Genomic DNA, 17,031 nt, shown 5'->3' with positions numbered 1-17,031 from the left:
GTTCAGCATATGCACATCAGTAAATGTGATACATTACACCATCAGAATGAAGGACCAGAACTATATAATTGTCTTAACAGATGCAGAAAAAGCATTTGATAAAATTCAACATCCCTTCATGATAAAAGCTCTCAACAAACTAGCCATAGAAGCCACATATCTTAACATAAAAAATCCATACACAACTCTATAGCTACTATCATGCTGAATGGGGAAGAGCAGAAAGCCTTTTCTCTAATAACTGGAAAAAGACAAGAAAGCCAAAAATGCTCACTTTTCACCACTTCTGTTCAACATAATACTAGAAGCCCTAGCCAGAGCGTTCAAGAAAAAGAAACAGAAGGCATCTAAATTGGAAAAGAGGAAGTCAAATTCTCTCCCTTTGCTAATAATATGATCTTATATGTAAAGACTCCACCAAAAAACTCACATCTGATAAACGAATTCAGTAAAGGTTCAGGATACGAAATCAACATACAAAAATTGGTAGCATTTCCATACACCAATAATGAACTAGCTAAGAAAGATATCAAGAAGACAATCCCATTTACAGTGGCTTCAAATAAAACAAAATATCTAGGAATAAATTTAACCAAAAGTGTAAAATATTTCTAAAACGAAAACTACAAAACAATGATAAAAAAATTGAAGCGGATAGAAGCAAATGGAACATCCCATGCTCATAGGTTGAAATAATTAATATTGTTAAAATAACCATATTTACTCCCCAAATCAGTCTTCAATGCAATCTCTACCAAAATTCCAAGGTCATTTTTCACACAATTAGAAAGACAATCCTAAATTTGTATGAAACCAAAAAAGAGCCTGAATAGTTAAAGCAATCCTGAGCAAAAAGCACAAGGCTGGAAGCATCATACTACCAGACTTAATATATTACAAGGCTTTGGTAAACAAAAGAGCATGGTATTGGTATAAAAACAAACACATAAACTAATAGAATAGAATAGAATAGAATAGAATAGAATAGAATAGAATAGAATAGAATAATCCAGAAAAAAATTCCTGACCTCTATTTCTCACCATATACAAAAATCAACTCAAGTTTGATTAAAGACTTAAATGTAAGATGTGAAACTCTAAAACTTGTAGAAAAAAAAATAAGGAAAACAATTCAGGACATTGGTGTAGGCAAAGATTTTATGGCTAAGACCTCAGAAGCTCAGAAAATAAAAATTAAAAAATAGACAAATGAGACTAGATTAAACTCAAAAGCTTCTGCACAACAAAGGAAACGGTCATCAAAGTGAACAGAAAAACCTATAGAATGGGACAAAATATTTGCAAACTATTCAACTGACAGAGGACTAATATCCAGAATATTCAAAGAACTCCAACAGCTCCACAGTAAAAAAAACAAAAACATCATTAAAAAGTGGGCAAAAAATATGAATAGACATTTCTCAAGATACACAAATGGCCAACAGGTACATGAAAAAATGCTCAACATCACTAATCATCAGGTAAATGCAAACCAAAATCACAATGAAATATCATTTTATATCAGAATGGCTATGATCTTTTTTATTTTATTTTACTTTAAGTTCTGGGATACATGTGTAGAATGTGCAGGTTTGTTACATAAGTATACATGTGCCATGGTGGTTTGCTGCACCTATCAACCTTTCATCTAGATTTTAAGCCCCGCATGCATTAGGTATTTGTCCTAATGCTCTCCTTCCCCTTTCCCCCCAACCCCTGACAGGTCCCAGTGTGTGATGGTCTCCTCCCTGTGTCCATGTGTCATCATTGTTCAACTTCCACTTATGCGAGAGAACATGCAGTGTTTGGTTTTCTGTTCCTGTGTTAGTTTGCTGAGAATGATAGCTTCCAGCTTCATCCATGTCCCTCCAAAGGACGTGAACTCATTCTTTTTTATGGCTGCATAGTTAGAATGGCTATTATTAAAAAGACAAAAAAATCACAGATGCTGGCAAGGATATGGGAATGTAAATTCATATAGCCATTACGAAAACCAGTATGGAGGTCCCCGCAACCAAAACAAAAACAAACAAACAAACAAAAAGACACTACCATAGTGTATTTATGTAAATATCAGTGGATCAAAGGGATACCTGCACTCACATTTTATTGCAACACTATTTGCAATAGCAAATATATGAAATCAACCTAAGTGTTAATGAATGAACAAATGAATTTTTGAAAATGTGGTTTGTATACAATGGAATATTATTTGGCCACAAAAAAGAATGAAAACATGACATTTGCAGCAACATTGTAGGAACTGGAGGTCATTTGTTAAGTGAAGTAAGACAGGCACAAAAAGACAGACATTGCAGGTTCTCACCCCTATTCAGGAGCTAAAATAATTGATCTCTGAAGATAGAGAGTGGAATGATGGATACCAGAGGAAAAGAAGGATGAGATAGTAGTAGAAGAAGAGAGGTAAATGAGTATAACATACAGTTAGATAGAAGTTATAAGTTTAATTTTTGATAGTAGAGTGGGGTGACTATAGTTAGCAACAATGTGTTGTATATTTCAGAGTAGCTGGAGAAGACAAATTGCTCACAAAATATTTAAATGAGAAGTGCTCAATGTGATGGATATTCCAAATTTCCTGACTTAATCATCATACATTCTATGTAACAAAGATTTACTTGTAGCCCATAAATATGTAAAATATCATGCATCAATAAAATTAAAACACTAGAAAATTTAAAAAATTAAAAAGAGAAATTAGGAAGTCATAATTTACTCAAAAATCATTTCATTCAACATTGTCCCAATTTGACTATTTTATTACATGTCCTACCTATGTATCTTGATGGAAATTTTCTGAGGAGATTTTAATTAAGGTTTTAGGAAAAGTTTTTTAAACTTATATGAAAAACTTTACTAAACATCTCATCTGTCAAGGCACTGAGCTATGTTCTATGGGCTCTACTGAATGGTTTTGGGATACAGATCACATTCTGCAAATAAAGTTGAGGATGTTAGTTATGTACTGTCACATCACATGGAAGTGAATTGATAAGGAAATTGGAAGAAAATAATGAGATAAGCTTGATGATATGCATGTCCCTAATTTGAGGTTTGAATATATGGGAGCTACTTGTAAACAATGCATAAATCCCTGTTCCAGATGCATATTTAATGCCAAAATGCTTGTGCAGAAAGAAAGTCAATAGAGAATCCACATAAAAAGAGCCATCCAAGGACTATTATCCATGTTAGTAGTTTATCTGCTACATTATTTATTTATACTAAGCTTTATTAATATAGAAAGTAAGTGGAAAGTATTGCCTTAAAAAAACTTATCACTCTATCATTTGAGAGTGAAGAGATACAGTCATAATTGTATTAATATTATGATGAGGTATGAAAATGAAGTATAAAAGTAATAATAGCAACACTTAATGGATGATTCTAAAACTTTTGCCAGGGATTGTTCTAAAACTTTTATACTGCATTAACTCAAGTAATCATGATAATAGCATAATGAAATGAGTTCTATTTTTATAAACATTTGCAAATGAAGAAGCTGAGCAAAAGTCCAAGGCCATTTGCCAGACAGTGGGGAAGCCAGGATGTCAACATTCAGTTCCATTCTCGGTTCTTAAGCATATGTTATATCAATTCAGTAATAAGCTTTTTAGAATTTCACTGGAACTGTGTGTGTAGGATTTGTCGTCACTGAGATGCTGAGGGAAGATTTCATGAGAAGATGGTTCCTTAAATGCATGCATAAGTATCAATGGATTTAGTAGTATAGTACGTGGGTCAGTAAAGATAAATTCACTAATGCAGTAGAGTGGTGTTTGTACTTTAGCACTTTAGTGGGTTAACATCATCAGAAGTTATTGTTAAAAATACAGATTCCTGAACTCTATGCCTGGAGGTGTTGGTTTTCAGAAGGCCTTGAGTATACCAGGGAAATTACTTTTTAACAAGATCTCTAGATGATTTTGATGCCAAGTCTATGGAGGATGCTATGAAGCATACTGCACTAGTATTTTGTAATCAAATTGAATTTCTATTCCAATGAAGTTATGTAGAGGGGAGCATTAAAAAAAAAATGCAACAATGTATCTGACTGAACAAACACATCCACATAGAAAATAATCCAAATAGAAGAGAAACTAGTACTTATTTCATAGATTTTTGCGCTCATTTGAATGTAAGGTCACAATGTAAACTTACACAATAATGGTTATGCCATTACCACATTCTTAGTATCTAATATTATCTTACAAATTGCATTTATTTTTATTTCCAACCCATGCTTTGACTATTTATTTCAATTCTCCAAGAAGAATCTTAGTTCTTAGCATAGACATACCAGCATTCCAGTAGAGGATGTTTGATTTTAAAAAGGCATAAGAATATGGTTCAGCAATTAATGCTGATTTTCTTCTGTTATAGAAAGAGCATTTATCATTCCTTAACTTTTTCAAAGATCTCTCTTAGTAGACAGTTTAAATCATTCAATGAGATTGTACATCAAAACCAATTCTTTCTACTTTAAAATACAATTTGTCCTAGGAGTTTGGTTTTATACGTATACTTCTCATGAAAGATTATAGTCAGGTCACAAAAGGCAGCAGTGTAATGTGGCTTTCAAATCATAAGATCATATTTTGATTAACAATGGTAATAATTGCAGGCTGGAATAAGTTAGACTTTATTGAAGTCATTGTGCCCTGCCCTCAATGCCCCAACAGAATTGGTTTCAATCTCCTTCTGCTTAGGAACTTGGTAATTGTGTCTGTCCTACCAGTTATCGCATTGTGATTTTTTGCTTAGTGTCTGTCTCGAACTAGACTATGTGGAAACACATGGAGCTCATATCAAGGTAATGTTATATTTAAAGAATAATTCACAAAGATAACTTGAATGTAAATAATGATGGAAATTTATTGTTTGTAATTATTTCTTGTATATTGTTATTCAATGTGGTTTGACATCTTGCCGATTTCCTCCTAAGAACAATGCACCAATTTGAAGCACTTCGGAAACATGAGAGCATCATAATAAGAAAAATATAAGTAGTAACTTTTATATGTGTGAGATGTAGAAAAGTTAAATGACTGACATTATTAGCCTTATAATTTAAAAAGCCATTATATTCCAAAACTACTATATCAAAGTTGATGTAGTTTACAACAGTCCTTAAGATAAATGTGTGACTTGAAAAAAAATAAAAAGACTCGTTTTTAGCAGTATTATGTTCACGGTAAAACTGAGCAGAGCATACAGAGAGGTTATTTATACTCCTTGTTCCCTCACGTGCATATACTTCCTCATTATTAACATCACCCACCAGAGCAGTAGCTTTGTGTGCAACTGATGAACCTATTGACACATCATTATCACCCAGATTCCATAGTTTACATATGGTTCACCGTTGGCGTATTCTATGGGTTTCAACAAATGTAAAATGATATGTATCCATCATTATACTACCATACAGAGTAGTTTCCCTACCCAAAAAATTCTTTGAGTAGGGAGTTACAACATTTTGAAAAAAAATTTTTTTGAAGTATAATCTTCCTTATCAAAGAAATAAATGAATACACTATCTGAAAAAGAAAATCATGTTATAATGAATTATAATGCCCTTGATTGTTATTTTAGGTGAATTTGTTCATAAACTAATATTTTACACAAAACGTAGGGTGGTCACAAATTCAATTTCCAGAAAACAATATAAATTAATTTTAAGAGTTAAACCTCATTAAGATTTCTTTAAATTCTTTTGCTCACTTGTGTGTTTCTTAATGACGATTGAAAATGATATTTCATAAGGCAACATTACTCATTTTCTGAGATGGAGGATTATGAACTGTCTTATATTCAATAACATTTTTAAAAAATCGATAGCATTGATACCCCATTATATTAAAGAATCATTTATTTATTTAGATATCAACTAAAATTGGGTTAATGGGTCTAAATAGAGAACTCCTTCCATTATATCCATTAGGGTCCTGATTTTAGTTCATTGTAAATAGAGATATTTAATAAATGTAAGTGAGACTCTGGGTTTATTTTATGTTTAAATATTAATGAAAATGATATCAGATAAAATGTTTTAAAAGTCCATATGATCATAAGAAGACTTTTTTATTAAAGATGATCAGTACTGACTGCATTTTAAAAAAAAAGACCCTAGTTTAAACAATAGCAGCTGACAAGTGCAGTGGCTCACTTCAACCTCTGCATCCAGGGTTCAAGTGGTTCTCCTGCCTCAGCTTCCTAAGTAGCTGGGACTACAGGTGTGTACCACCACGCCCACCTAATTTTTGTATTTGCTTCTTTTTAGTAGAGAAGGGGTTCACCATGTTGGCCAGGCCGGTCTCAAACTCCTGACCTTAGGTGATCCGCCCATCTTGGCCTCCCAAAGTATTGGGATTATGGGCGCGACCCATTGCTCCCAGCTGATAACAGATATTCTTAATCGTTTGATTTGCCAAGACTTGTATCTAGTTTATAGATACCTTATTTCTTCTGTACCTTTTATTAGCACAAAAGCACATGTAAATCTTACATATAAGATTTACCTTATACTAGAAAAGTAAAAAGAAAAAAGTGGTCATTTTCATTTATATAAGAAGATACTAAGTTTTCTGCACTAATTTATATTTAAAAATTCAGTGGAATTCTTTTTAATACCTGTCAGAAGTACATCACTCCCTCAGAGTAAAATAGAAAATGCCTCTATAATTGAATGGAACAAAGGCTCCTATAATATGATTTTTACTAAAAACAACCTAAAGCTATTCATCAATTTGTACTAAATTAATTCAGTCCAGACGAGAAATCATATAAAAGCTGATGCCTTTACTTCACAGCCCATTACCTCCCAGAGGTAAAGATAGGCCTATATTATTATGTAACAATGTGAAACATTTGAAACTCCAAAACCTATGCTGTATTTCAATTTTTAATGAGATAAGTTATAGTATTTACAACCATAGTCTATTTTTTTTTATTTTCATGTGATAAAGCAGCTCTCCTCCTGCTCATTTTAAATGTACGCCATCTCTTCAATCTTACAGCTCAGTTTATCTACCAAGGCAGATAAACATGGTAAAATGTTATTTACAGGTAATGCACTAAAAGGGCATGGGCTGCTTTTATTGAGCACTCATGATGTGCTGTGTTCTATGCTGGCAACTTGTATTCAATTCTCAGAGCTATCTTAGTTCGTAGGTATGATTATTGTAATTTTACAGATGAGAAAATTTAACAGACTCAGCACTGTTAAATAAGTCATTCAGGATAACATGGCCAGTAAGTACCTGACATGCTTCTGTTTTTGTGATTCTGCAAGTTCCTAGTATTACAGAAAAGATGTTTTCTGTAATTTATTTTTAGCATTGATTTAGTAGAAATGTCATTTCTTCTTAGATGATGTTTTATTGCTTGTACCCCATATGACTCACCTCTCCCTTTACCCCTATTAATCTCTTCATTTGGTGATAGTATGTTCTACGCAGAAAAAACACCTTGACATTCGAATGTACAAAATTAAGGGCTTTCCTACATACCCTTGTGCCAGTCTCCAACCAAATCATAGGAGTAACATTTGGCTCTGGCAAAACTGGAAGCACCTTGAGGGCAGATGCAACACTGCAGACATAGTGGGAACTGAAGAGTTAGGGTCGTGCCACCTCAAAATATGCCACTGTGGCATTTTGACTATTTTGAGTAAAAGCACTTGAAAAACAGCAGGTACAAGTTTATCATTTCGACCTTCCTTCTGTTTCTTAAAAGCTGCAGACAAAATTTCCATGTAACAAATTTCCTCTCTGTTCCAGAAGGAAAGCATCATTCTCACCATCAAAGATGGAAATGTAAGGCTGGGGGGAATCTGTAGAAATAAACCTTGCCAGGCACTTCCACACCCAACTAACCACCTTAGCCAAAGCTTTTTTTTTTTTTTTTTTTTTTTTGCCTTTTCACAATTTACTTCTTGTCACTTATACTAATTCAGTATATAAGTGTTCAACTCTGAGTCTTTGGGTCTACATTTTTTCATAAGGCTCCCATGCCACATATAACTTTTATTAAATGAATTTCTATTTTTTCTAGCTGATCTATCCTTTGCTTATTTAATTCTCAGACCCAGCCAGAAGAAAAATATCCTGAAAACATAAAATTTTGTTTCCCCTATAAGTACCTCATGAAGCAAAACTGCAATTTTTTAAATGCTTAATAAATACAAATCAATGCAGCAGTTAGGCCAAAATTTTTGTATTAATCACTTACCATCATTTGAATAGGCCTGAGTTAAAACTTTACTCTCAGAAAAAAATATATTTACTTCTTTCCACAGAAAAATTGTTCTTTCAGAATTATTTTTGACCTCTATGCATTTCTTCAATTTTTAAGAAACCATTTTAAGTTGTAAATAATGGATCCACATTTCTCTGAGGTGGCAACACCACTTTTGATAACGTGTATGAAATTAGAAATCAAGAATGGTATTTTACCAGATACGATTATTTAAATAACATTAGGTGAGAGATATTTTGTTTGTAAGACTATTATTTTTATTATTGATAGAGCTATACAACAACAAAGTCATACACAGTAAAATTGGAAAGTTATTCAGAATCTTTTTAAATAAAGGATTTAATGGAAAATACAATCAGAAAGTCAATTACCAGAAATCTATTTTAATTTTAAACTTAAAATCACCAAATAATATAAATCTAATCCACAAAATAAATAAAAACATAACCTGGAAAACATAAAATAATAAAGATTTATGAAACAAAATTTTAATTACAAATTGGTAATTTTCTTCAAATTTTCATTCTTTCTCCCTTTGTTTAAATTCAGCTTCTAGTATTCTTACACTAGAAGTTATCTCGTCATCAAAAGACCCTCCAGAATTATCTAAAAAATAATCAAGAGAATAATTGTCTTGAAACTTATCAGTGGTCAATGCTCAGTAGTAGCTACCTTGTTAATGCCAGATGATGGTTTTTATGCTGGATTCAGTTCTACTAGAATCGTTCTCTGAACAAGAGCTCCTGTTGAGGTGGTTAATGCACAGTTAGCTAAGCCTTCAGTAAGGGTCATCTTTTTCCTTTATTTTTCAATCATTCCAAAATAAAGGTCATATTAGAAATTAAGAAAAAAAAGAACAGAAAGAAAGTAAATGATACTCTACTTCTGGTCTAACAATTCAGGATCTTTGTATCAATGAAAAAAATAATTATCTAGATAACTGTGATATGGGAAGAATAAATAATTATCTAGATAACTGCAATAAGGGAAAAATCTATCAACTTATATATGTGTGTATGTACATAACTGCAATATGGGAAGAATAAATAATTAGATAACTGCAATAAGGGAAGAATAAATCTATCAACAAGTATATGTGTGTATGTACATGTATGTTTCATCTGAGTAAAAATGTAAGTATATATATATAGTGAGTATATATATATATATATGAGTGTGTGTGTGTGTGTGTATATATATATATATATATATATATATATATATATATATATGTTTATACCCCAACTGAGGCTAGGATTTAAGAGAGGGTTTAAATAATCTTTAGAAGGAAATAACCATTGGGTGCCATCTATTCAGGTTGAACAGTTTGATGAACATTTAAATAATTTTTTTAGGAAATTTCCAGAATTAACAGTAAAGTTATTTGTAACTTTTATCTTCTTTGCTAAATCTTTGAGAATAGTAATGTTGATGATGAAAGTGTGTGAAAAGGAAAAGCATATTAATAAAAACATAAAAATAGCAAAGTTAACATAGATAGCAAGCTGTGTGTGTGTTGATGGTTTCAATTATTAGAGTGATCATAACATGAAAATGATTAGATCTTTTGAAATGTAGTATTAAAATATATGGACATGTTTATCAAATCTCAGAACAGCAGAATTAACATCCCATAGAATATCCTTGGTTCTATTTCCTAAGATAGAACACAGAGTTTATGCATGGTGATGCAGTCCAATTGAGTAATTTTTAGGCTTTCATACTTCCGAAAAGGTGTGGCCTCAAAATTACATAACTTACTAACAAATATGGAGAATCTGTTGTTAGAAATGACTGTTGTATCCAAAACTATTTTGTCATTGCCTAACATAACAATTTTCCTATTTCAAAAACCATATTGAAATGGCTTTTTGTCATTATATTGCTGACAAACACAAACACACACACACACAAAATCCTTTTTTTTTTAGGCAAGTGTCCTTTGGTAAAGAATGCAAAAGAAAACTGTAACAGAGTGACTCCATCTCTAATTGCACATATATTAGAATTGTTAACTATAGAGAACATGTAATGATGTTGGAATTAGCCTAGTTCTGGTGAGAGTCAGAATGAAAAGTGGAGAATTAGCTTAGCACAGGTTACAAAAACTAATTCCTGGAATCCCAAGAATGGACTCAACTAGCTCAGGATATAACAATCAGGTAATAGCTAATTCAGCAGATTTTGTTTTTTAAAATCACAGGGAAATAAATGTGATGGGAATGTTCAATATCAAACAATTTTTAAATATTCTAGTAAATTTATCTGCCCTCTGGTTCCAAGTTGTACACCTTAATTCTTATTTAGATAAGAAGAGGAAGGCTGTACACAGAGCGTTTAAAGTATAGGGCTTAGAATTAGGCAGACCTGGGATTAAATTCTAGCTTCAAGTTGCTCAGTCTTTTGCAGGAATCAGATTATCTTTTCTATAAATGAGGATATTAATACCTACCTTATAGGTTTTCAGGGAATATGAAATGAAATGACTTATGTAAAGCACTCAGCAAAACTTGGCACAAGATAGAAGTTTGAAATAAAAATACAGCCTTATATTTTTTTCTCCTCCTTAAAGATGAATGTATTCTAGATTAATTTTTTTCCACAAGGAGATAGCACCTCCCTTAAAGCTTTTCATACATCTGGTGAAATGTAGTTTTCAAGCAGTCTCCTGAATACTGGATTTATAATTTTTCTCTCCGAACTTAAGTTATTTAGCCTCTCTGAGCTGTATTTTCCTTTCTGTACATTCAGCATACTAACATCACTCTCGTATGGTAATTATGGGAATCAAAGGATGCAAAATATACAGTTATGTCTGATAAATATACAGTATATAGAAGCATTATTATTTTATTTTCAAATAGCAAAAAATGAAAGACCTCTTCTTTTTGTCATCTAAATTCCTTCTACCTCCCACTGCCTCCCACATGCAAGCCCTGCTCGGTATTTGGTTTCTGGTTTGAAGGCCAGTATGAACATACACCCATTTGTCCAGTTTATAAATACTAGTTACCTTAATCATATAAGGCCATTTGCCTGCTATTCTAATATTTCCCAACCTTTCTTCCTCATTTTCTCTGACAGGCAGTAAAGAATGCACAAAACCTGATCATCCTAACTTCCTTTAGTAAGTGATTTATGACTCAAACATTCACTGAAATCAAACCATCCATTTGCAGGCCATATATGATTGGCTTTCACATAAACACTCATATTTAATGACTATGTTGACTGTGATTCCTACACAAGGTGTCTAATAACTTCGGGGGTGGTGAGGGTACATTTATTGTCTTGGTTAAAACATCTGCAAGTTTGTATCGCCAAGAATTAACTTAGGGTTTGAATCATCAAGTGGTCCTTATGCGGGGAGGTGTGCCTTATCATCAAACTCAGTAGCTTTCCCTGAGTACTTGCACACACCACTCACAAAAATTTTATCTTCATTCCTATCTACACCAAAAGGGTGCAGAGATTGGAAGATGAATTTGAGAGGAAGAGTGGAACTGTTACAGTTGACTCACTTAGCAAAAAACTTAAAGCCAATAGTTTACAAATCTATTTCTCCAAGTCTTTTCTACTATCCCCCAATGCACAAAGTGAGTGTACCAGCAACTTGCTATTTTAATGTTTCTTCTTCCTCCTCCCTCTAGAATGCAGAGACAATTTTAGCTCCAAGCTCCTTTTTTTGTGTGTGACCTAAACTTATTAAGATGCTCAGTTAAACAAAAATATACATCTATTCCTTTAAAAAGAGCCTGCTTACTTAGAAAACTGTTTTTTCTTTTAAATATGAATTTCTTTTATTTATTATTTCATTGACTATTCCAGTGCCATTATTCTTGTGAAGTACTGTTTCCTGATTTGGAATCCAACTAAGTACTCTATATTTTAATAATAATGTATAGACTCTGTTGTAGTGATGTGTATTGTGAGAGATAACTGTATTTTAGATGAAAGTGTTTCTCTAAAATTAGAATATATTAATAAATCAGCTTCTTGAAGAGTGAACACAAAGTAATTCCTTCACTGAGCTTTTCCTTTAGTCGGTTTCTGAGGGCTTGAAGGATAGGACAGCATGATGAATGGTGATTAAACTGAGCCTAGCAAAATGATGAAAAAAATACAAAATTTTTCATTCTTGACAACAGGCATTAACATAGAACTTAGGCCATTATGTTCAGCAGAATTGAAGCCAAGATCCTTTTATAAGTTCTTACAGTGGCATGCAGGGAGTAAAGGAAGGAAGCCAAAGAACAGGCCATTTTATTTATAAGCTAAAAAAAAAAAAAACAGCCAACACTGAGAATTTGATTCTTTCACTCCTCCCAAGTAGGAAATATTTACTCTAGTATATTTTATTTGTTATGAAAAATGTAAGTGCACATTTGGATATAACAATGATTTAATTGCTAAAAGTATGATAACCTTTGATTCAAATATTTTATAATTTTAGGTCTTATTATTACCTTCAGTAACAGCAAATAAAAAAAACAAGGAGTATATACTATAATAATTGCTAACACAGCATTTATTGTATGATGTTATATTTTACAAACGTTAAGTATTAATTCCTTTCTTCCTCATTAGCATCATATGAGTTATGTAAAATTTTTGTTCATTTCAATGAATGGATAAACTAAAGGTAATTTTCTTAGACTTTCTGGCTTCTACATCCATGTTTATCAGCTTTATGACAATCCTTGCTTTACTGACTAATTTCTGAACCTCGCCACTCAGAAAAGAGGCCATATGGAAGAGAGATGTTGGTGGTTTCAATTCAAGTGGTAGCAGTAGAAGTACAAGAGTATTTTCTACAGGTAGATCTAGCATGTTTGCTGGGGAATAGATATGGTGTATGAGAGAATGAGGAAGTTAATAAGGGCTCCAAGGTTTTGTTCGATACAACTGAAATTTTGGAATTCCAATGAACTGACATGGATAAGACTGTAGATGGAGTAATTTTAGAGGGATCATAGCAATTTTGTTTGGGTAATATTTATTTAGCATGTTTATTAGTTAGACGGCAAGATCTAATAGACAGTTGGCTCTAAGTATCTACAATTCAAAAGAGATGTAGAAATTCAATTTGGGGTGTTTCATCATATAAATTACACTGAAAGACGAGACGCTATGAGATCTGCAATAGAGTGAATGTAAATAGAGGGAAAAAAAGGTTTTCTTTTTTGTTTCTGATATGGATGAACAAGTTAACTTGATCAACTTCATGGCTAAAGGCAACTAGTATATCTGATTCAGGTGCTTAAAAATCTGTTTGAAGTTACTAAAAAGTTAACATCATAATGAAATGTTGCCAGGCAAATATATCAGGGACAGATAGGAAGGTAAGCTTAGTATTTGAGAACAATTTTTCTTTAGGGCTGTTCACTTATTCTGAAGAAGAGCTGAAGGCAAAAAAAAAAAAAAAAAAAAAAAAAAAAAAAAAAAAAAAAGCACTGTTTTGTTGATAACCTTTTAGAAGCTGATGGACAAAGTCCAGGGTCTCCCAAGAGGAAACAGCTGATAATTTCCCCACACTTTGAGTTAAAACCCAAGAGACCTATAGTCTAGGAGTTAGGGCAAATCTGGAGACCTGCCCTCATAGAGCCTGAAGCCAAATCTTCAGTAACATTAATGCCAGAAACGAGTTAAATGCCAGATTCGTGGCCTCCTCATTTGACTTACACAAACTAAGGTAAAATTTCTCAGAACATAACTTTACCTTGAACTTCAAATTACATTTACACTATCAAATGTTATACAACTCCTGACATTCAGTAAAAAAAAAATCAAGCACATAGAGAAGTTAAAACACAGAAAGAAGAAACAAGAGAAAACTAGATAATAAAAACAAAAGTAATCCTGGACATGGAATTATAGTATTTTTAAATAACTTTTAATATTAAATGTACAGAGATATAAGAGAATGTTCAGATTTTTGGTAGAAAAAAATGAAAATAATTAAAAAGACCCAAATGATAATTTTAAAACTGAAATATAAAATAACCTATATTAAGAAGTCAACAGGGAAACTTTGAATGTTCTAATTTTGAAAATGTTTGGCAAGATGATTGGCAAGAAAGCTACATGTAGTTATGTGATTAAACTACTGAATACTGAAGGAAAAAAATAGAAATTTTTATAAGATCAAGAAATATAAATGACATTTTACCTTCAAAGCAGTAACATATAGACTTATGGATATTTTCTCAACACAAATAATGACAGCAAAAACAGTGATGAAAATTGTGGCTTTAAAATGCTGAAAGAAAATGATAAAACTAGAGTTTTCTCCCTAGCAAGAATATTATTAAAAAATGAAGGGGTAATCTAGGGTAATCTAGATATCTTTAGACAACCAAATTTGAGATAATTTATCACCCACAAGGTTATATTAAAAGGTATTTTTAGGGTGGTTTTCAGGCCAAAAGCAAACTATCCCAAAGGAAATAAGGAAATGTAGAAAAAAGAGCAATGAAAATATTAAATATGAAGGTTGATATAAATGAATAGTGGTTGTATAAAATGATTTTGGCAGTACTGTATCAGATACATATGTAATAGTTATTTACATATCCATATCAATATTCATTATATTTATTGGAGAATATGGAAGAGAAAAGGTCCTTCATTGACTTCAGCCATGGCCTTGTGTGTTTATGGTTGTGTCTGCTGCTACCAGTGAGTCTTGGAAATAAAATAAATATTAATCAGTTTTTATGTATGTTTCATATATATTATCTGAGAAGTATTATATAAAATAAAAAATTTTATTACCTAAATAAGTCCTTAACGTTGCCACTCTGTTACATATTTCTGTGAGTACTATTAACCTTGCTAAAAAGTATGAATGTTACATGATTAGATATTACTCAGCAGTGCCCACTGGCATTTTCACTATATGAATATTCTCTATAGGCTATGGTTCTTTGTACTTATTCTTAAACTTCATGTATATCAAAATAATTTTATTATATTCATAATGAAGGGTATAAAAATTGCTTAAAGTAAGCAAACTATCGCAAGGACAAAAAACCAAACACCGCATGTTCTCACTCATAGGTGGGAATTGAACAATGAGAACACATGGACACAGGAAGGGGAGCATCACACACCGGGGCCTGTTGTGGGTGGGGGGAGGGGGGAGGGATAGCATTTGGAGATATACCTAATGTTAAATGACGAGTTACTGGGTTCAGGACACCAACATGGCACATGTATACATATGTAACTAACCTGCACGTTGTGCACATGTACCCTAAAACTTAAAGTATAATAAAAAAAATTCCTTAAAGTATCTAAGCATTTTAATTTCAGGAATTCCAATTCCTTGTGTGTGAATCCTGAAGATTCATATCTGTCAAGAGTTTAAAAACATTACACAGGATATTAATAACTGAGACATCCCTGTGAGAAAGAAAAATAAAGAAACCATTGTAATTATTACCAAAACAGGCTTACCTATCTGTAGTGAAGTGATTTAGGTATATTATTTTATTATTTACATGAGGTATATTATTTAGCATGAATATAATAAATATAAGAGGCCAAGTGAGCATGAAAGTATTTATGAGAAAGTATAGGGAAGGAATAAACCAGACTGTAAAAAGGAATTATCAATTGCATGTAATTTTCATCTGCCAAATGAGCCAAATGTCCATTTTTAAAGCAAACTAAAAAGGTACATACACAAACTTTACTGAGCCCTTACTCTTATTTGTACCATAAGGACAGTAAAGGATAATTAGAGCAATAAATCACTGATGTTAAGGAATGCCAGAATATTTGTATTTAGCCCCCAGTAGGAGGAAGTGTTCTGGGGATGATATTCACTTGTAAACAGTAATCATTAGCATCAGGGTCATGCAGATACCTGCTTTCCCTGATGGTGTCATGGTAATCCTCAAGAGTCCTTTTGGGTATAATTGATACCTTTGAGATTATAATTTATCTGGTAAATAATCTTAATGGACTGGGTCTTTGGGGAAATTTTTTTCTTGCACAATAGAAGAACTACTATTCCTCTGAAAATCACAGAAAGAAAACATATATTTGCACCATGTAGCCCAGATGCCAGAGATTAATATATTTCCCTTTCCTAGAAAAGAGTTTTACAGAATGGTCACTTTAACTTCTCTCTTCTGTTTATTTATTTTTCTTAATTCCATGCATTTTATCATTTAACAAGCCTTAATTGGGCATTTGTAATATAGCAAATATTGTACAAATAATTAAAACATAATTCCGTCCTCTAAGAAGTCCAGATCATTAAACTGTCAGCAAATGATTCAGTCATCATCATTTTATCACCTATTGTTAGCTACCATCTATTGTCTACTATTTCCTAGATACTACATATATGTTAAGTATTTAGCTAAATATTTTGAAAAGATCATCTTAATTAAAACCTCTGCTGCAACTAATGTGACAGTAAGCTTGGATATCAAAATATTGAGCTCAGAGTAATTAAGCAACTTTTTCACAGCTGAAGAGCCAGTGATTGATGAATGAAGGGTTAAGCCCAGGGCTGATTTCAGTGTTTGGAGTCCCAAGCACTATGATAAACTTCCTATGTACCAAAGCAATCCAATAGCTGCTTTGGACAAACAGAATTGGGGTGATACACTCTGCCTGAAATGAGAGGCCCTAGGATGGCTGCATAAGGATGTGATATTTAACCTACACTTTAAAAGTACAGCAGATAAGCATTCACCCATTGTACATATTGGAATAAAAATTCAAAACAGATGATCC

This window comes from Homo sapiens, chromosome 13 (assembly GCF_000001405.40).
Source record: "Homo sapiens chromosome 13, GRCh38.p14 Primary Assembly".
NCBI classification, from domain to species: Eukaryota; Metazoa; Chordata; class Mammalia; order Primates; family Hominidae; genus Homo; species Homo sapiens.
This window is presented reverse-complemented; position numbering follows the sequence as displayed.